The 22,398-nt window shown below is 48.4% G+C and overlaps 1 annotated feature.

Moving 5' to 3' along the window:
* Window positions 19,978-20,510: an enhancer, noted in NCBI's record as "H3K4me1 hESC enhancer chr20:55447159-55447691 (GRCh37/hg19 assembly coordinates)". NCBI's record gives its function as "activates a minimal SCP1, AML or CMV promoter by ChIP-STARR-seq in primed H9 embryonic stem cells {active_cell/tissue: H9 hESC(primed)}" and the evidence as "EXISTENCE:reporter gene assay evidence [ECO:0000049][PMID:30033119]".

The following is a 22,398-nucleotide window of genomic DNA, read 5'->3' on the forward strand; positions in this document are numbered from 1 at the left end:
TTGTTTATTCAATAGGTCTACTTTTACACTCCCAAGAAAAACTCATTGCTTTGACTAAAATAGGCAGCCAAAAATGTTACAACGTACAGTTGAGCAGATCAGCTCATAAACCTACTTGCCCTTCAGTGACTGAGAGATAGCATGCCGTGTGTCTTAACCATGTAACCGGCGGATGTGATCACGTTAGACTCTGGATTTTTGACAGATGATGCTTTTTTAGGCATTTACTTGGAGGAGATACAGATACTCCAGACAGGACGTTTGCCCATTACACAGCTGCCCCTGCACTAACTCCCCCCACCTCACCTTGCCACCTGTCAAATTACCCCTTTATTCACACGCCTGCTGGGGACCCCTTGGTACATTACCAGTTTTTAAAATGTGATATCAGTTTTGGTGATCTGATTGGCAAAGATGAACGAGGTCAATAACTCCTGCTGTGGCAGCTACGGAGGGAAAAGGGCCGTCTTGATCCTCACTGTTTTGAATGTGTAAAGTGGGGGTAAGGTGGAGGTAGGGGGCTCTCTGCAGAGCGACACCCAGGCTGGGCACTGGTCACTGTGTTGTGGGCCTTACATTCTTTCGCTAGGCCTCCAAACCACCGTTAAGAGGTAGGAACTATCTTTAAGTCCATTTCACAGACAAGACCACTAAGGCACAATGAAGTAACCTGCCCAAGGTCAAGTATCTGGTAACTACAAACCCAGGCTGCCTGGGGTCTACACTACAGCCTTGTTCGGTTTGCAGTGACAGCCTTCAAGTCCTGCTTACTCTCAACCCAACAATTGTCTCTATAGGATTGATCCTAGGGAAAGAGTTGTGGATGGGTAAGCAGATTTGGGATGAGGCTGTGTATCAGAGGGTTGTTTTTTGATTTTGTTTTTGAGACGAGGTCTCACTCTGCCACCCAGGCTGGAGTGCAATGGCATGATCACAGCTCACCCCAACCTCTGCCTCCCGGGCTCAAGCGATCCTCCCATCTCAGCCTCCGAGGGTAGCTGGAGCCAAGGCCTGTGCCACCATGCTCAGTTAAGTTTTTGTTTGTGTTTTTTTGTAGAGACAAGGTTTTGCCACGTTGTGCAGGCTGGTCTCAAACTTCTGGGCTCAAGCAATCCACCCTCCTTGGTCTCCCACAGTGCTGGGATTACGGGCATGAGCCACTGTGCCTGGCCAGGGTTTTTTTCAACAGTGAAAAATTGGAATTAACCTAAAAGCCCATCAATAGTAAATCAGTAAATTCTACTATATAGTATTGCATATCCTGGACTGTGATGCAGTTTTTAAAGAGTTATAAAATCGATATGCTTTTTTGATACATACAATTCCAATATATCATTGCAGTTTACAAATTATAATGTATGGCATGATGTCATTTTTGTTACTAAAAAATATACAGGCATAGAAAAAAAACGGGAGTTGGAGCTGGCCTTGCCGGCCTCAGCACTAGTGACATTTTGGGCTGGACGGCTTTTCGTTATAGGGGTGTGTCTTGTGTGGCATGTTTAGCAGTATCCCTGGACTCTATCCACTAGTTGCCAGCAACATTTCTCACTACTGGGGGCCCTAGTTGTGACAACAAAAAATGTCTCCAGTCATTGGCAAATGTCCCCTGGGGGGCAATGTCACCCAGTTGAAAACTACTGGGTTAGGGCCGGGCGTGGTGGCTCACGCCTGTAATTCCAGCACTTTGGGAAGCCGAGACCGGTGGATCACTTGAGGTCATGAGTTTGAGACCAGCCTGGTCAATATAGTGAAACCCCGTCTTTACTTTAAAAAAAAAAAAAAAAATTAGCTGGGCGTGGCAGCAGGCACCTGTAATCCCAGCTCCTTGGGAGGCTGAGGCAGGAGAATTGCTTGAACCTGGGAGGCGGAGGTTGCAGTGAGCCGAGATGGCGGCACTGCACTCCAGCCCAGGTGACAGAGCAAGACTCCATCTCAAAAAAAAGAAAAGAAAAGGAAACTACTGGGTTAGAACTTCCTCCTTGTCTCCTCCCTCCCTCCCTCCCTCCCTCTTTCTTTCTTTTCTTCCTTCCAGTTTCTGCTCAAATGTTATCTCCTAAGAGGCAATTCCTGGACCGCTGCTGAAACAGCGCCCTTCCTTCCCTGCCAGCACTCTCTGTCCCTTGTCCTCTGGGCCTTCCCTGATAGTGCACAGCACATGGCCCTATTTATTTTCTGTCTCCTGCACTGGATTGGAAGCTCCCCAAGGGCAAGGGCCTTGTCTTGTTCCCTTCTGTATATTTCCTGGCTGAGGACAGTGCTCCGTTCACTGTAGGTGCTCAGCAAGTGTGTGTTGAATGAGAAAATACCTCTGTGCCGAGCCAGCATTTTCAAGGCCCTGCTGTGCACCAGGCTCGCTTTAAGCGCTTTACACCCATGAACTCATGTAATTCCCCTGAAACTTCTGGGAAGTGGGTTCCATTATTACCCTGGTTTACAGATGAGGAAACTGAGACCAAAAAGGTTATGGTGTAGCTGGCCAAGGTGACATCTTTCTAGGTAGCTGAGCAGGATTTGTTCTTCAAACGCTGCTAAGATGAACATGCAGGATCCCACAGATCCTTGCACATTGGTGGGAGGAAAGACATTGGATACTTTCTGCATGTTGGGGGTGAAAGAGTCGTGCATTTTAAATTTTGAGTGCAGTGCTTAAGAGCTTTCCCTGAAGCCCTCCTCAATTTGCACTTCCTCCAACAGTGTCCTGAATTCATTTTAGTAGAAGAGACATGAGAACACCAACACACAATAACACGGTGTTCTTTATTTTTATTATCATTATTTGATACAGAGTCTCACTCTGTCACCCAGGCTGGAGTGCAGTGTCACAATTTCGGCCCACTGCAACCTCTGCCTCCTAGGTTCCAGCGATTCTCCTGCCTCGGCCTCTCGAGCAGCTGGGACCACAGACGTGCGCCACCATGCCAGGCTAATTTTTTGTATTTTTAAAAGAAACGTGGTTTCACTATGTTGGCCAGGCTGGTCTCAAACTCCTGGCCTCAAGTGATCCGCCCACCTTGGCCTCCCAAAGTGCTGGGACTACAGGTGTGAGCCACCGTGCCTGGCTGACATGATGTTCTTATTGAGAGTTTGTAGGTAGAGCACAGGGACTCTCTGAGCTCTGAGGGACAGGAGGGGGTTGTCGCCAGGCTAGGCTCCCCACTTAGGGATGCTTGTCCTGGTTTGCTCTTGGAACCCAAGCATCCCCCTACCCCAGGACAATGGCCACAATTCAGACTGATAGCACTCCGAGCTGCCTGGCTCATTGGTGGCCACAGCGTGCTCATCTGCCCACTGGTTTTCAGTGTCACAGTCAGAGCTGAGAGTGGCCACCTAAGGGCGGGGCTGCTGCTGCTGCTGTTTGTCCAGCCACTGAGCAAGGGAGGAGGGGGGACATCAGGATCACACCAGGCCTTCTGCCCAGAACGTCTCCCCCTGCCTTCCCAGGACCGACCCTTCTCACCCTCCAGGTCATGACTGGGCTGCTCCCTCCTCCAAGAAGCCCACTTTGAAACCATGCATCTGCAGTGGGTTGAAGGGTTCCCCCAAGAGACACGACCACCTGAAACCTCAGAATGTGAGCCCATTTGGAATAAGAATCTTTGCAAATGGCAAGGTTCTTGAGATGAGATCATCTTGGAGCGTGGTGGCCCTGAGTCCAGTGGCGAGTGTCTTTATAAGAGATGGAAAAGGAGAAGAAACAGAGAGGCATGAGGAAAAGGTCGTGGGGCCGCAGAGGCAGAGGCTGGAGCAATGCGTCTGTAAGTCAGGGAAGCCAGCAGCCAGCAGTGGCTCGGGGGAAACATAGATCAGACTCTCTCTCACCACCTCTGAAAGAAACCAGTCCTGTTGACATTTTGATTTCCAACTTCTGTCCTCCAGAACTGCGAGAAAACAATTTTTTTTTCAAGCCACCAGATTTGTTATGGCCACTCCAAGAAATAAATATAGTATGCCCACCTCCACATACCAGCTTTGGCAATTTGGGGCAATTTGGCTTGCACTTAGGCAGGTTACTTCTACCCCTCAGCCTCAGTCTTCCCATGTGAGAAATGGGACTTTAGCCACACCCGTGTGCTGTCGTGGTGAAGACTAAATGAGGTAGTAACTACACGGACTCATCTGGGAGCCTGCCACCTGGTAAGTGCTCCATGAATGTTAGCTACTTTTTTTTTTTTTTTGATCAATCTAGAATGTGTCCCCAGAGATCCTGAGTTAGAATCGAAACCAAGGTCAAAGCACATTCTCCATTTGGTTCTGTGCACAGTGAGGTTTTTGGGCCATCAGGTTCCAGCACAACAACAAAAACATGGAAACCACCCAATGCTCACCCCGAGGGGTGGGTCACTGACCTCATGGTGCAAGGGAATCACGTGCAGCCACTGAAGGGACATTTAGAAAACATTTTTGCCCAGCGTGGAGGCTCACGCCTGTAATCCCAGCACTTTGGGAGGCTGAGGCAGGCGGATCACTTGAGGTGAGGACTTTGAGACCAGCCTGGCCAACATGGTGAAACCCTGTCTCTACTAAAAATACAAAATTAGCCGAGTGTGGTGGCGTGCACCTGTAATCTCGGCTACTTGGGAGGCTGAGGCAGGAGAATTACTTGAACCTGGGAGGTAGAGTTTGCAGTGAGCCAAGATCGTGCCACTGCACTCCAGCTTGGGGAACAAGAGCAAAACTTCATCTCAAATAAAAGAAATTTTTTTTTGATAATACGGAAACATTCTTGGTAATAACATTAAGTGGCTAAAAGAGGTATAGAAAATTGTATGTGCAGAATGATTACAATTATGCAGAAATAAATACCACGTTTCTGTTGAGAGAAAGAAAACACACAAAAAAGTCACAGGGAAGCAATTTAAATCCATACATATGGGAAGGAGAAAGGAAGGAAAAAGGAAGGGAAAGGAGAAGGGAGCGGGAAGGAGGGAGGCCCACAAGAGACGCAGGAGTAGCCAGTACTCCTTACTGCTGCAGTAACATTAAGCCATCACAGGTGTGTATCGCAATTAAGCTCTTCCGAAATCTTTCCCATCCTTTATTCCAACCCATTTGGCAGTTTTAATAAACTCTCTGAGCTTCAGTTCCCTTATCTAAAATGCTACCTGCAAACCCAGCTGCACTCCACTTTGTGCTCATGGGCAATCTCCTTCATTTCTATTGGCCTCTGTTTTCCAATCTATAAAATGGGGATGTTAAAAGCACTCCCTCACTGAGTGGTTGACACCGTCTCAGACCTGGGCCTGGCACATAGTAGGTGCTCAATAATCTCGAGCTGCTGTTATTTCATATGGGACACGAGCCTGGTGGATCACTGCTGGCAAGGCCAACTCCTTAGGGCTGTCTTCTCGTCCTCTGGAGAGACCCAAGGGTTGAGAAGATCCCCTGGTACCCCACAGACCTCCATGGCCAGAGGGCAGATGAGAAGGTGGGAGAGGGCACCCATTCAGTGTTCCCACCGGGGACAGCCTCATTTCATCTTGGCACAAGACAACTTCCTGGTTCAAAGACCAAAGGCCTTGAAAAAGAAAGGAGAAAGGGTTCCTGGACATCAAATGTTTCTTACAAACACTGTTTTGATGGTTTAAATGTAAACAAATCTGAAACATATGGATTACATTTCTCCTGAAGGGCTTAAAAGTTAAAGGGGAAAAAAGGGAGTTGTCTCCAGCCAAATTCATGTTGATTTTTGCCAATCTCCAGGATCTTTGGGAAATAATTGGAGACATGTCCTCACACCCCAACTAGTGCTAAGCTGTAGCTTTTTTTTTAATTGCTGTTATGACTCACTGTTGAGTTGGTGATTATTTTTATCCAGTTAATGAAGGTAATCTATAAATTACCACTGACCCAGATTCAGATTCATTATTTAATAAGATTTAAATTACACACCCAAGTTCGCTCAGAAGCAGCGGGCTGGAGCTTCTTTCTGAACAGCATCTGTTTGTTCTCAAAAGTCCTGATGCTCAGATGTTCTGATCACCGCCTCCCTGCCCCCATTTGAGCGTGTGGCCTATATAGTGTGACATTTGGGGCCACCTGGCCAGTTTCCAGGCCCTGTTCCTGCACATGCTCTGTGAGTATTGGCCCTGGACCAATACGTGGGAATTCCCAAGGCTGCCACCCAGCTTCTGCCTCTGTCAAACACTTGCAGGGTGCCTTTGGGCGACCTCTGGTCCCTCCGTGGGCCTTGGTTTCTCCCTGTATGGCACGTTCTTTATGGGGGTTCTTAGTACCGTTACACCAAGTTAGGGTTTCCCAAGGCGTGTCCCGTGGGGCCCTGGTCCCACGGGTGCTGTCTAGAGGGGCTCCTTCCTTAAACACCCTTGAGCATGGCTACAGAATCCACAACTGTAGATTCACAAGGGCATACCATTAGGGTCAAAGTCACCATGTCAGACCCCCTGAAAAGGTCATAGATTCCAGAGAGCTCACCCTCTCCTGCCTGCTTTCTGCCTTCTTTTACCCATAAGGGTCCTTTTACCCAAAGGGCCTGGTCAGGACCTGACCCTGCCTTCTCAGTCCCTCTAAGGGCTCCCCTTGTCCTTAAAATGAAATCCACTTTCCTGAGCTTGCAGGGGTCTGCAGGGTCTGCACCCAGAGGCAGCTTCATGGACAAGCAACCTGGGCAGTTGCACAGAGGGACTCCATGCTTGATTTAATGCTATCTTGTCTCGTCTTGAAATTCTTTCTAAGTTTGCCTGAGAGGCTCTGCAAATCACGTAGCCAATCCTGCCAGAACCCTAGCACACCTTCAGCACTGACCTTTCCCTCTCTCTGTCCTTTTTGCTCTTCTGCCTCTGTGCTGACTGGACCCTAAGCCCTGAGTGAATGTCAGTGTTTGACCAAGAAACACTTTCTCTGTAGGGCTTCTCCCCTCTTCCTTCAGAGGGACCTGTTCATCCTTCAGGTCTCAGCTCAGACGTCACCCCTCAGAAAGGCCTTTCTGTCCTCCACCAGCGACTGCATTAAGCACGTAGCTCATCCCTGTGCAGCACTATTGGGAAACACCTGATTGGTTTCCTTGCTCACTCTTTATCCTCCCTCACCACGTGGTGAGCATGGGGAGGGCAAGGGCCTTCCTTCCTTGAGGACACAGCCCATGTGCCCCCCACACACGGAAGCTCCTGTCTTGGTCAAGAAACTGGCTCCATTTCCCCAGCCAAGCATGTCTCATATTCCTGTGTCTCCTGGGGGAGGTGGGGTGTTGAGCCCCAGCTCTGAGCTCCAGCGGGAGCAGGTGGTGAAGGAAGAGATACCCTGCTCTGGGGTGCACCCCCAATACCTGGACTTGTTCTGAGCTCCTGCGGGGAGTCCCAGCCACAGTGACTCCCAGGACCCTGGACCTTCTTCCCTCCCCTTTGCTCCTTCTTGCAGCTCCTCCTACCCCCATCCTCCCCGAACCCTTTTTCTGCCCTTCAAGCTTCATTGCCTCAGGACTCCCTTTTATCTCATCAGTTTCAAAGCTGCCTCCCAATGAGATGATCACGGTTTCCTTTGCCCCTTCTCTGGGCCCTGCCACTGGGGGCTGCTGGCATGGGAGCTTTCGCTAGTGTCCCTGGATGCTTATTTTTTCACCGAACAATTATCTCTTTTTTTAATGGGCAAGGCTAAGTTTATTAAAGTCGCAGAAGCGAGTAGATGTAAAAGGACCATATTAGGAAGTGAATGGCCTGGGCACAGGCTGAACCAGGACCACAGAGGCTGTTCTCAAGACAGCAGGAATTAGGAAACTCAGCTCACTCCCCCTCACCCACCCCAAGCTTCTCACACTGGAATTCCCCTCGGGGTGGGGGCGGGAGAGGGGGGGAACAGTGAAGGGAGGTGGGTGGGAACCGGTTTCAAGTCACCACTGTCTGGGAAAAGGGCTGCGGCCTTGAGCAAGGAAAATGACCAACTTGTCCCTGTTTGCCTGGGACTCCTCTGGATTCTACATCCCAAGTCCCAGGTTCTGGGAACCCCTCAGTCCCAGGCAAACCCTAAAAAGGGTTGGAACAGGCTCCACCTCACACTGCTGCTCCCTGGGGCACACCCGGAGAGGCCGGCTCTCTCCCAGCCCCTCCCCTCTCAGCCCCTCCCCGTCCCCCTCGCCTTCCCGTCCCCATCCCCCTCCTCGTGGGGAAAAGCTTCAGCCAGATTTCCACACCCACCTGCACAGGGCCCTCCTTTGCCCCCTGCAAATGTCAGTGTGTCCTCATTCCCCTTAGAGCAGGTCCACGGCCGGAGGCTGCCCAGAGGAGACTGGGGGTGTCTGTGCCTGTGCATGGCGGCGTCCACCCCAGAACCCCCAAATACATGCATATAAAGCTCTGAGGAGCACTGTGGCCCTTTGCTGACAGTCAAGGGTTTGCATCTGGTGGGGAAGTTTGTTTTGTTCTTTTTTTCTTCATTTTATTTGTATTTGTTGTGAAATACACAGAACATGAAATTGGCCATTAGCTACTTCTGAAGAGTACAGTTCCACCGTGAAGAGCTCATTCCCATTGTTGTGCAACCCATCTCCAGAACTGTTTTCATCTTGCAAAACTGAAACTGCAAACCCATTAAACACTAACTTCTCATCCTCCCTCCCGCTCCCCCTGGCAACCCCCATTCTCCAGTCTGTCTCTATGAATTCGACAACTCTAGGTAAGTGGAATCATACGGCATTTGTCCTTTTGTGCCGGGCTTATTCACTTAATATAATGTCCTCAAGGCTCATTCATGTTTAGCATGTGTCAGAATTCTCTTCCCTTCTAAGGCTTAAGTAATATTTCATTGTATTAGTGGGCGCATTTTGTTCTTCCATCTACCCTTCAATGGACCTTTGGGTTGCTTGCATGGGGAAGGTTTTTAATTTTTCCCCTCCCTGGGCACCAAAGCTGAGATAGACAAGGGCATCTAGATGCCCTAGGGGAGGGGCAGCTGGAGTCCCGGTTAAAAAGAGGCAAGGAGGAAGAGAATGTGCTGGAGGAAAGAAGAGTGGTGAGAGGAAATGAGGGGCCCAGAGGACCCCCTTTGAAACTGGCAGTGGATTCCCTGTAAGAGATTATCAGAATAATAATCATTATTAAAGCGGTTGTATTGCCTGGACACTTACTGTGAGCCAGGTCCTGTTGTAAAGGGTTGATGTGTGTTCATCTGCTGTGTTCTCACAGCAGTTCTCTAAGGCAGATGCTGTTATTGTTCTCATTTGACAGATGAGGAAACGGAGACATGGATATGTCACCAGCTTATGAAATCTGGGCTGAAAAGGAAAGACCTCGACATATTCCAGGGGTCCTCAGCTTTCAGCCACATCAGAGTCACCCACACAGCTCGTTGCTTTGATGTAGACTTCAGCCCACCCCGGGGCGTGCCATCCAGGGCATGCTCATGGGGCTGGGCTATGGGAGAAACTCTGGCTTGACAGAGCAGCCTCGTAGGAGGGGTGGAGATGGGGAACCCGTCATGGGCTGTCTCAGTGTTCAATATGTGGAGCATATTCAGAAAGGGCTCTTTTTCCTCAAAACCTATTGCTGAGATTTGTACATTGTGCCAGGCATTTGCAGAAACAGTTGGACCTTCAGCAAGAGACATCATTTCTGTCCTGAGCCTGATGCCTCTGGCTGTAAAGTGGAGTGCATGACTCCTGCTGTGCATGGTTTTAGGAAAGGCCCCAGGAACAGCTCAGTGAAGCAGCAGCGCCATGTCTGAGGCCTGTGAGTGACTGCTCCCTACACGTTGTTTCCACGATAACCAAACACCAGCAGAGCTCCCTGTAGCCTGTGGATTTTCTGTAGCTGGTCACCTGAATGGCTAAGCCCGTGTTACTGCCCGGTCTCTTCTGGCAGGATGAACTTGAATGTGCCAGCGCTAACCCTGTTGCCTACTGGAAGGAAATTAACCCTTCTGCTACCAGCCTGGGGCAATATTTTATGGAGTTTCCTTCTTTCTTGAGTTGGCTGGGAAATGGAAAGAGGGGTTTAGGCTGACGGTCTTTTCCTCTTTTTAGCAAAGCAGTACATGTTTGTGGTAGGCAGTTTAGGAAATGCAGATAATTAGAAAGGAGAAAATCCACACCCTCCATCGCCTACTGTCCAGACACGATGAGAGACTCTTGGAGTTTCCCCTGAACCGAGTTATAAGCTTATCCATGGGGTTCATCTGCAGCTCAGAGTTTCTTGTTGATTGCTGGGGTCTTACCTCAGAATTTTGACCCCCCACTTTGGGGTCCTGGTTTGGTTGGGCAAAGAAAGATGAGGTATGAAGAGAACAGAGGGCTTTTGATTGTTTGTCTTTTGAGAACTTGGATGAAGTTGAAGTTCTAATGAGATCAATGGACAGCGCTAGGACTGAGTCCCCAAAAGCATACTTTGACCCTCCCCCGAGACAAACCAGTTGTCATTTTTGATGTTTTTCAAGAGTACATGCTTTTGTCTTCCAGGAAATGAGCATGTTGGTAGTAAAATCATGATTTTAATGGGTTTTGTAATATTAATTGTCATTTGGTTTAACACAGGGTTTCTCAACTTGGGCATAATAATATTTGGGCTGGATCATACTTTGTGATGGGGATTTTTTTGTGCATTGTAGAAGCCGCAGCAGCCTCCCTGACCTCTACCCCCTGGATCCCAGCAGAAACCTCTCCTCCGCTGTCCCTGGCTCCCTTCTCCCCAAAAGATATCTCAGGACAAACGTCTCCTAGGGGACAAAATCAGCACCTGAGGAGAAACTACTGTCCCAGAAAGTCCCAGGGAGGGAGAAGGATCCCTACATCCCCTCAAGCATAAACAGAACTCAAACTATACTTTATGAGATTGGACACATAATGGTGTTTTTTTTTTTTTTTAAGAAAATAGCTAATCAAGCAAGAGGACTAGCAATAATAATACAACTAATGTTCTATTCCTTGTAGTTGGAGACTGCGTGTGTACTTACCTCTTAATATCCATTACACTTAATTAGAATTAGCATTGCATTACATTTAATACCATGTTGCCAATTGTATTTAACTAAAAAATGCTTTTGAAAAATTTAGGGTTTTTATTTTTTCATCCAATGATCAGTTTCCTGCTGAAGGATACTCTTTCATATCAGGTATAAAGAAAGCCCTTCCAACAGACCTGAAGAATGTTTGCTGATGAATCAAAAATAGCTCTCTAAGAAGAACTGTTCCAGAATAATCACGGAAAGAGACTGCTTTTAAGACAGTTCAAAAATAAGTATTTTATTCATTCAATGACCAACTGATTTTTACGAGTGCCTGCCATATGCGGAGAATTTATAGTAGGGAAATGTCTAATTCCTTATAAATGGAGAGGTGATCTCCTTTGAAGAAGTAGGAAATTTTTATGTTTGAACTTGTCAGGGAGAAGCCAGAAGTAAAAGGACATTTAATTCAATTTGACAATTAAGATTTGTCTTGCAGCATCTCACTTGGCCAAGCTCAAAAAATCATCTTGTGGAAAAGTCTCATCTAGTATCGTGCATGCGTGTGTGTGTGTGTGTGTGTGTGTGTGTGTTCACACACACTCATGCTAACGTGCAGAACAGAGGCATGGACCATTTTGTTTATTATTTCTCGCTTTGCTCCAAAAGCAAAATTAATTGAGGATTCGAAATATTTTTTATGATGTTGCCATAAGAATTAATCCACCCGTATTGAAAACGGAAGAAAAGAATGAATGCATTATTGCCATTTTCAACCAAATAACACATTCCATTATAAATATTTCATGTATCTTATAGAACATGTGGTAAATGCAGGAAAGAAAAAAAGTTAATATCATACCTAAATCTGTCACCCCACTGTAAAAAGGTTGGTACATTTTCTTCAAGTCTTTTATTTTTTATTTGTTGGGATATACATACACATTTTTGAGCAAATTAGGGTCATACTTTTTCAGAATTTTCAGTTCCATTTCAATTTCTGTTGTATCGGGGGCATGTTCCCCAGGAAATATGATTTTTAGAGAAAAATCACTGACAGTGACTGAAGCAAAAAAACAAGGCTGCCCTGGATGATTGTGCAGGTTGTGCACTCCACAAACCTAGGTGATAGTGTGAATGGTTCTACCTGAGAAAAGATCCTGCCGATTCTAGGTGCCTTTAAAATGTATCTACACACATTCACAGAGAACTTGGCTGAACAAGGCACTCCACGCTTCACCTTCTGAACACAAACCAGAGTGGCTGCTTCAGGCTGGAGTGGGAACAGCCACTGATGCAAAGAGGCTTGAAGGAACTTGACGGGGGTTGGGGGTGTTCTACATGGGACTGGAGAGGTGGCTGCACAACTGTCTGAATTGAAGCTCGGCCAGGTGCGGTGGCTCACACCTGTAATCCCAGCACTTTAGGAAGCCAAGGTGGAAGGACTGCTTGGGGCCAAGAGTTCAAGACCAGCCTGGACAACATAGCAAGATCCCATCTACAAAAACACATACACACACACGCACACAAACACACACACACAAACTGATGCTCATTGAACTACATACTTGAAATGGATGACTTTTATGATATCTTAATTATACCTCAATAAAGCTGTTTTTTTCTTAAAGGAAGGAAGGACAAAATCCACCCCCTAAAAAACAAGCAAACCCTGGGAGGTGGGCACCATGGTTATTATTCCATTTCACAGACCAGAGATCTAGACCCAGAGAGGGTCAGCCACTTCCCTAAGGTCACTGTCACAGGCAGTGGACTGGGGTCCTCAGCCTGGTACCTGGCTGGGGGACTTCCCTCTGAGTCCCTCCACATCCCTGCCTCTCCATCAGCCCCTGTTCTAAGCTCTGATATGCCATCAACCCAGGAGTGGGTTCTTTACAGTCGGAAACCTAAAGCCCTGGCATCTGGGGCTGTGTCCTCCCCACTTTCTGTATATTCTGAGCCTGGTCTGCAAACCAGCCTATTCCTGCCCTACTTCCCAGCTTGGGTGGCAAACACCCGAGCTCTCAAAATTGAGTTTAGCAAAATGGAAAAGCAGGGGGAGGCTGGACTGCCCTTGATCTGAAATGTGGTGATGAGAGCTGCTCAGCACCATCCCTGTTAGGCCAAGCTTCTCCCCAGTGTACATTTTGAATGAGTCTGATTTATTGGCCGCGTTTGAAGGGATCCTAAAACAATGCGGAGCTTCTGGCAGCCTGTCTGAGAACATGCTCACACACAGAGCCATCAAGCCCGACTCTGAATCACACTCCAGAGCCGAACAGGCATCTTCAAAGGCCGGTCTGCCGGGTTTCCAGCAGGACACGATTGTGGGCTGGGCACCAGCATGGAAAAATTGACTGGGTGTTATTGTCAAATGTGGCAATGGTTTCGAGGATAATTTCCTCCTGAAGAGCGGCTTCTGTGATTTTATTTCTCATTGTGTTGCCATTCCACGGGGTCTCATGTGAAGTCGGGCCTCCAGCATCCTCGGTCGGTCTGTGAGGATTTGCAGGCTGACTCCTATGGGTCCCTGGCTGCGCCCAGTAGTGATGGCTTTGGGGAATGGAGCTGTGTTGGGGGATGGGGACAGTGGCACAGAGGGCAAGAGCACAGCATGACATGGACTCATTCTGCTGCTCTGCAACCTGCCCTCTTCCTTCTCAGGAAGTGCGGATCCACAATCAGCCAATGGGTAGCGGACTGCCTACTTCTCACGCAGTTGCATGGGCTCTTTATAAAAAGACCCAATGGATGAACAAACTCTGGTACCATCTGACAAGGGAATATCCAGCACAAAGAAGCAATGAGCTATTGAGCCATGAGAAGACATAGAGGAAACTTACATGTATATGGCTAAGTGAGAGAATTCAGTCTGAAAAGGTTACATGCTATGGGAATCTAACTCTATGAGATTTTAGAAGAAGTAAAAGTATAGAGACAGAAGATCTGTGGTTGCCAGGGCTTGTGGAAATGGGGGGATGGGAGGGGGAATACGTTGACATCCAGGAGCTTTTTACAGCAGTGAATCTACTCTGTATGATACTATAATGGTGGACACATGTCATTATATGTTTATCCAAACCCGTAAGATGTACACCATAAAGTGAACTCTAATGCAAAGTAAGAATTTTGGCCAGGTGTGGTGGCTCATGCCTGTAATCCCAGCACTTTGGGAGGCTGAAGCAGGTGGAGTGCTTGAGACCAGGAGTTTGAGACTAGCCTGGACAACATGGCAAAATCCCATCTCTACAAAAAATATAAAAATTAGTCACGTGTGGTGGCATGCATCTGTGATCCTAGCTACTCAGGAGGCTGGGTCAGGAGGATTACTTGAGCCTGGGAAGTGGAGGTTGCAGTGAGCCAAGATCGCACCACTACAATTCACCCTGGGCAACAGAGAGAAATCTTGTCTCAAAAACAAAAACAAAAACGTATGGCCCGGGCGCAGTGGCTCATGCCTGTAATCCCAGCACTTTGGGAAGCTGAGGCAGGTGGATCACCTGAGTTCAGGAGTTCGAGCCCAATATGGTGAAACCTCATTTCTACTAAAAATACAAAAATTAGCTGGGTGTGATGGCATGAGCCTGTAGTCTCAGCTACTCGGGTGGCTGAGGCAGGAGAATTGTTTGAACCTGGGAGGCAGAGGTTGCAGTAAGCCGAGATCATGCCACTGCACTCCAGCCTGGGTGACAGAGCGAGGCTCCATCTCAAAAAAAAAAAAAAAGGTTTTATATCAAAAAACCCTCTCTAATCACCCCATCTAAAGATTTCTCCTGGAAATTTCCACTGAGCCTTTTTGCTTCCTCCATAATAGCTTTGGAAATCTGATCCTATTTTATTTAAGTGGTTGTTTGTTTTATTTGGTTACTTACTGTTTTCTCCATTCTCCCTCCATTCAAGGTAAACTCCACGAGGGTAGGAGGTTCTGTCTGGTTCAACGATGCATCCCCAGTGCCTTGAAGTATCTCTGGCACACACTAGGCACTCAATAAATGGCTGATAGACGGGATGAATGAGTGAATGCACATTTATTGACCCCTACTGCATTGGTTGGAGCTCAGTGTGGAAATAAAAACCATCTTAGTTCTTTTAAGCCAAAGGTGTTCTCATGCACACCATGTGGAACTAGGAAATTTGTGGAAGGGCCAATAATCAAAACAACAACCGGAGGCTAATTTCCATCATGCCAGCCCACCTTACCCCTGACTCCCACACCCTGCCCCAAGGACCCCAAAGAGACAGCCTCCCCCACAGTGCCTTGGCTGTCTCGGTGCCCCCTGTCTTCCGAATTAGTGGCCCCTGCACACACTCACCATGGTGGTTAAGCATCAGTACTGCAAGGCAGACAGGCTGGGGCTGGAGCTGGAGCTGGAGTGACAACCCTATTGTTTACTGGCTGTTTGACCAAGCTCAGATTTTTTTTTCTTAAACCTGTAAAACGGGGTAAACATGGGACTGACCCAGCAGGGTCTTGGAAGTATTAAATAAGACAATGCCTATCAAGTGCCTGAGCTGATGCCTGGCCAAAAAGAGCACCGGCTATATGCAGTGAACACCTATTATCTCCTTCTATGCCAGGCACGGTTCCCAGCAGTAAGCGGGAGAGATTAGGATCCTGCCCTCAGGGAGCTCCCACCCTGGTTGCAGCCAAACATGTTAATCTAATCAATAAAGCACAAGGGCAGAGGGGCGACCACCGTGGGAGGTGAAGCTACTTTAGCAAAGATGGTGAGAGAAGAATGTGCCATGTGAACTGAAGCTGAACCACACGGGAGGGAGGGAACAGTTGCAGATCCAAGGAGGCTGTTCCAGGCAGGGGAACAGCACATGCAAAGTCCCCGAAGCAGGGAAGCAGAGGGCTCAAGGAGAAAACAGTAACTACCAAAAGGAGCTCACTCTCGACAATCACTATTATTAGTAGTGATTGCAACAGAGCAAAACATCTGTTTCCTCACATTTTACCCCTCCTTCTCCACTCCTTTCTGTTGCCTCCTAACTACTAAGACTTATGAGTTATCAGATTTACATGTGATTCAGAAAAAGTCTCACCATTTAACTACTGAGTTTCCGATTTAGTTACCTATTGATGCATAAGAAATTACCCCAAAACTTACATACACCCCAAAACAACAATGAATGTTTATTATCTCACAGTTTTTCTGGGTCAGGAATTTGGTAGCAACTTAGCTGGGTGGTTCCAGCTCAGGGTGTCTCCTATGGCTGCAGTCACAGTGACAGCCAAGATTGCTGTCATCCAAGGGTTCGCCTGGGGCTAGAGGAACCATTTCTAAACGACCCACTTTCGTGGCTGCCAAGTTAGTGCTGGCTGTTGGCAGGAGGCCTCAGTACCTTTCTATGTGGGCATCTCCACAGAGACGCTTGAGTGTTCTCATAACATGGCTGCCACTTCTTCCAGAGCAAATGATCCCAGATAACAAAGCTGAAGATATGATGCCTTTTATAACTGAGTCTGGGAAGTCACACACTCTCACAGTATTCTACTGGTCACTAGGATGGGCATGATTCCGTGTGGGAAAGACTACAACAAGGTGAGAAGCCCAGGAGGCAAAGCTGCTTGGGAGCCACCTTGGAGGCTGGCTACCATGGGCTACGAAGCCCGTCAGATGGGCTGAGTTAATTTTCTCCCTGCTTGAGCCAGAATCAATCAATAATGCTGATCAGTAACAAAATCCTGAGCAGTATCCCCAGCCAGGAAAGTGGCGGCTTGTTTAGGATTTGATACTTTTGCCTTGTTTATCTCACTTCAAGCAGTTTTCCTTGCATCATGAGAAATTTGCTGTTCAAGTCTCGCCCTCTGTCTGAGCCAACCTGAGAGACCAATTCAAACGGATTCAGTCCCTGAGACAACAAGATAGAAATTCATAATTAAAGTGGGAAGTAAAGGAAATTAATCTGTCTGGCAAAAGGCTATAAAGTAACTCTACTGCCAGACACAGAATCTGCCATGGGAAAACAGATGGGAATAATAAGTAAATATAACCAATGCCAAGCAGAACCAGGAAGGGCAATTTATAGCTACTTAAATAATTTTCTCATTTCTTTTTTTAATTGAGGCTATTCAGAATGCCAGAACAAGTGGTGAGAGTGTGAACTTTTCGTCAGCCTCGACTGCATGTGCAGACCAGTCAAAAACAAGGCGTGACCACTGGAGATCGTGTTTGGGAATCAGTCACGGTTTCCCAATTGATGGGCATGGTTGGTAATTTCACGCAAGGACTTGGAATTCTCATGACCTGACGCTTCTTTGTGTGGTGTGATTCTGTGCACGAAGGTGACTGGGTTTCTGCCTTTGCTGTTTAAACACCTTTGCTGTGGCCCGCAGAGGAGAAGTAGTTTGGTGTTTATGACCAAAGATAAATGCAGTTTTAAAAGTAGCAGTGTCCAAGTTAGTTAGACCCTACTAGAGGCAAATATACCTGAGATCATGAGGACTGGGATCAACTTTGCAGGGTACAAAAAAATTTTCCTGGCCAGGCACAGTGGCTCACGCCTGGAATCCCAGTACTTTGGAAGGCCAAGGTGGGTGGATTACCTGAGGTCAGGAGTTTGAGACCAGCTTGGCCAACATGGTGAAACCCCAGTCTCTACTAAAAATACAAAAATTAGCCGGCAGTGGTGGCATGCGCCTGTAACACCAGTTACTCAGGAGGCTGAGGTGGGAGAATGGCTTGAACCCAGGAGGCAGAGGTTGCAGTGAGCCGAGACTGTGCCACTGCACTCTAGCCAGGGCAACAGAGTGAGACTCTGTCTCCAAATTTTTTTTTCCTTAGAAGACGTGGTTTAATCTTACCAGCACATCCGGCATACACTGCTGTGTGCAGTAGGCAGTGATTTTCATGACTAGATGAGCTGCACTGAGAATATTTATCATTTTGGCCTCCGTTATAAGGTATCCTCCTTTCGGCCCTGAAGGAGAAGATACAGGCAGTCAGAGTGCACTGGAGGGTAATTAACCTCGTCCAGAAAGGGTGGGAATGGGGAGGTCTCCGGTGGAACTGACATTTAAGCAAAAAAAATGAGTTAGGGTCAGTAGGGAAGGGAGACAAGACTTACCTTCCCCATTGCAGGGGTGAGGAATCAGTAGAACCTGCATCCCAGTTCTGCCCTTTGACATAGGATTCTAGTTTTCCCCAACAACAGTCAGCCATCAGCTCACAGTCCTCCCCACACCACCAAGTCACGCTTAGGTATTCACTATTCACACATGGCAGAGAACAAGTTTCCATTTGAAAGGCTAGTATGTGACATGCCCAGTACCTAGCACTTTCTCAGCACATAGTCCTAATAATAGTAATGCCCCCAGCCCCCACTACCATCACCCCAATAAGAAGAAGTAGCTGACATCCAAGTCCTGACTCTGCCAATCTCCGGATCTCAGTGTCTAGGTGACTAACTCACTGAATCCGCACCACCACCCCACGCAGGTGGTACCACTTCCCCATTTTACAGATGAGGACATTGAGGCCTAGAAAGGTTAGATAACTTACCCAAAGATGCATCTGCATTAAGGGGCAGGACTGAGACAGTCCCTTTGGGAAGTGGGTTCACCGCAGTGACACACAGCCCCATTTCAGGACTTCCTACGCTGTGTCCTCCAGAGACATAGCTATCTTGACTGTCCAAATGAAGCTGCTTTAAAAAGGCACCTGCAGGGCCGGGCGCGGTGGCTCACGCCTGTAATCCCAGCACTTTGGGAGGTCAAGGTGGGCAGATCACGAGGTCAGGAGATCGAGACCATCCTGGCTAATACAGCGAAACCCTGTCTCTACTAAAAATACAAAATACAAAAAAAAAAAATTAGCTGGGCATGGTGGTGGGTGCCTGTAGTCCCAGCTATTCGGGAGGCTGAGGCAGGAGAATGGTGTGAACCCAGGAGGCGGAGCTTGGAGTGAGCCGAGATCGCGCCACTGCCCTCCAGCCTAGGGAACAAGAGCGAAACTTCATCTCGGAAAAAAAAAAAAAAAAGGCACCTGCAGGAGATGGTTAGAGCATTCGATAGGCTACATCTTTGGTGGGTCACTTGGAACGTCTGTCTCTGTATCTACAGATCTCTGTGGGCACCTGGTAAGTACCTTCCCCCAGACCCAGCAATAGCACTTTCTGGAAAGCGCCCTTCAGATGTCCTTGGACACAGGTGTGACAATGATACACGTGCATGGTTATTTGTTGCAGCAGGACTTTGAAAAGCGAGGGTGTGAAAACACCCCAAATGGCCATCAATATGCTTAAATTAGGTCAATATGCTTAAATTAGATTATGGAACACCTGCATAGTATGATACTATAATATTCTGAAAAACAACAAGGACATCCTCTAGGTACTGATTCAAAAAGACTGCGGAGATATATCAGGTACAACAGTCAGATGCCGTATAGAGCGTATACCACATGATAATTTGTGCTTTGGAAAAACAGAAAAGAAACACGCGTGTCTGTAAGAAGCATGGGTGATCTTGTGGGGGCACCTCAGAACTTAGCAACAGGGGCTTATTTGTCTCTGGGAAAGCGAGCAGAGAAACCTGGGGACTCAGGGGCTGGAGAAAGCTTACATTTCCTCGTATAACCTTTTGCATCATATTTGAGGTTTTATCAGATACAGGTGCCAGCATATATATATACATATATATATATTTTTTTTTTTTTTGAAAAAAGATAAAACACAGCAACAGCTGGAGGGGCTAAGAGAGATGTGTCTGGAAACAAAGGTGGTGAGGGAGGGAAAATTCCTTCTGAGAGCACACCTCAAACGCAGGTGTGGGCTTTTGATGCCCCATTTCCCAAGAGGCGACCGCCTTCCTTTTGATCACCCATGTCCTGTGATTCCCCTCAGGAATTCCCTCCACGGGCAGGTCCTGGCCTACATTGAGATGACACGGGTGTCCTCAGAGGCTGCTGGCTCGGCCGTGCTTGTCTACCAGAGCCCTCTGTTGCCCCGAGGCCCCTGGGAAGGGTCAGTGCTCACTATGATTATAGTTCCTGTCTGCGCTGGTGTCCATAGCCATTAAAAAACACATCCCCAGCGGCTGCCACCCTTGCAGCCGCCCACACTCTGTCCAGGGGGCACACAGGGCTCTGTAACCCCGCATGACACCTCAATTTGGGACAAAGTCTCAACATTCCCCCCAGCCAGCCCCCGTCTGGCTGCAGATGTCCTTTGCAGCTGACCTTCCTCTCCGCCCACATCGCTGCTCTCCAGGGAGGGGCACATGCTTTTTCAAAATGAGATGTTGGGATAGAAGTGCAAGAACATCATTTCCAGGAAAGACGAGTCTCTACCAGGTGTGCCCAGACAGACAGGTCCTCATAGGCACGCAGAGCTAGGAAAGGAACAATTGCCCTCCATGAGTGGGCCTGGCCGCTGAGACACCAGGCCATTGACCCCTCCCATGCTGGACTCAGCTCCAGCTTCTGTGGCCACATTCCTCCCATTGTGTTATCTTTTGGGACTTGGTGATCCCTACAAAGGCTGGCCAATGTGCTGAGGGCTTTCCAGACATTCTATCTATGTACACATGAAATAACCATAAGAGGTAGTAGTGTTGAACCAATGTTTCCACAGTTGGGAACCAAAGTGCAAAGAAAAGCAGAGAACTTGACCAAAGTCACAGAGATGTGGGTTGAGGGAGTGGAGTCACGGTTTGAATTTAGGTCTGGTGGCCACCACCCCAGCCTTGTGATCACAGAACACCCAAGAGCTCCTTCCTACTTGGTCCAGATGCACTGTCCAAGCTCAGTACAGGGCCCCAGGCAGCCACCACTGAGCAATAGGACCGTCATCTCCAAGAGGGAGGGACATGATCTGGCCTAGGGCAACAGCACCTCCCACAGTGTGTGGCACTGAATGGGAATTCAGTAAATACTTATGGAGGGAAGGGAGGAAGGAAAACAGGGAGGGAAGAGGAAGAAGGAAGGAAGGAAGGAAAGAAAGAAAGAGAGAGAGTGAGAGAGGGAGGGAGAGAGAGAAAGAAGGAAGGAAAGAAAGAGAAAGAAAGAGGGAAGTAGAGAGAGAGAGAAAGAGAGAAAGAAAAAGAAAGAAGGAAAGAAAGAAAGAAAGAAAAGGAAAGAAAGGAAAAGAGGGAGGGAGGGAAGGAAGAGAGAAAGAAAAAGGAAAGAAATAGAGAAAGAAAAAGAAAGAGAGAGAGGGAGGGAAGGGAAGAGAAGAGAAGGGAAGGGAAGGGAGGAAGGAAGAAAAGGAGGAAGGGAAGGAAGGTGAGGAATATATCCCCCAGTGAAATGAACACGATGGCGAAGTGCCACTTTGGGCGCAGGGTTGGGCGAGTGGAGTGCCTCTTCCATACCCTCCCCTTCTGCGAACTGGATTCTAGAAGAATTCATAGCCACACGATGGAGCCTGGGACCCTGAGTCCCTGCCTCAGGAACATCTACCGAGGCTGTTACATGGCCACGAAATGAACCGCATTGGGTTGGAGCCATCATACATTGGGGTCTATTTGTGACAGCAGGGCAGCCCACCCTGACTCATGGAACAGGAGCGGGAGAAGCTCCCTGCCCTCTGGGGCCCTAGGTGCCGCTCAGCAGCTCCGGGCTCTGAGCCAGTGAGCCGGTGTACCACGCAGACGGCTTGATTTTTCTTCCCACCCGAGCACGGGACGGACAGTCTGCACTGGGCGGGCAAGAGCATGGCTGAGTTAATGGGTTCTTGGGTGAAACTTTCAGAGGGACACAGGCCACTGTTGAACTCAAGTTCTTTTTGTAAGCTCTAGCCCAGCGGTCCCCAACCTTTGTGGCCCAGCGGTCCCCAACCTTTGTGGCACCAGGGACAGGTTTTGTGGAAGACAATTTTTCCACGGCCCAGGGCGGAGGGTGAGGTTTTGGGATGAAGCATCAGTCAGTCGTTAGAGTCTCGGAAGGAGCGCACAACTAGATCCGTCGCGTGCGCAGTTCACAGTAAGGGTTCGCGCTCCCGTGAGGATCTAAGGCCGCCACTGATCTGGCTGGAGGTGAAGCTCAGGCGGTGATGCTCGCCCGCCCGCCGCTCACCTCCTGCTGTGCGGCCGGTTCCTAGGAGGCCACAGAGCAGTCGGTCGCAGCCCAGGGGTTGGGGACCCGCTCTAGCCCCATCTGACCTGTAATATTGTTCCGGCTCGCCTTTCCGTGCATTGCAGTTTCCCTTTGAAATTCACCATTTGCCAAGGGACAAGGGCCCCTCTTTAAAGGCAGAAACATATCAGGAGCTATTTTAGATCAGGTTCCCTAGGAACAGGGCAAGCGGCTTGTTGGGGTGCTCTCAGGAGAAGAACAACCTCTAAGGGAGAGAAGGAAGCAGGAGAGGGAGAGGAAGAGGCCAAGCACAGCTCCGGCTCAGCTGGAATCTACAGCCAGCCTGACCCACGGGGAGCTCTGGGGCATGAATGGCCACACGTGGTGTCTTCCTACCTTGAGGCAAAGGAGCGGGCTTTTGTATCCCCATCGGGTCATGGGTGCTCAGGGGAGAAAGCTCAGGGGAGAAAGCATGTCTCTCTACCCC

The sequence above is a fragment of the Homo sapiens genome, chromosome 20 (assembly GCF_000001405.40).
Source record: "Homo sapiens chromosome 20, GRCh38.p14 Primary Assembly".
NCBI lineage: Eukaryota > Metazoa > Chordata > Mammalia > Primates > Hominidae > Homo > Homo sapiens.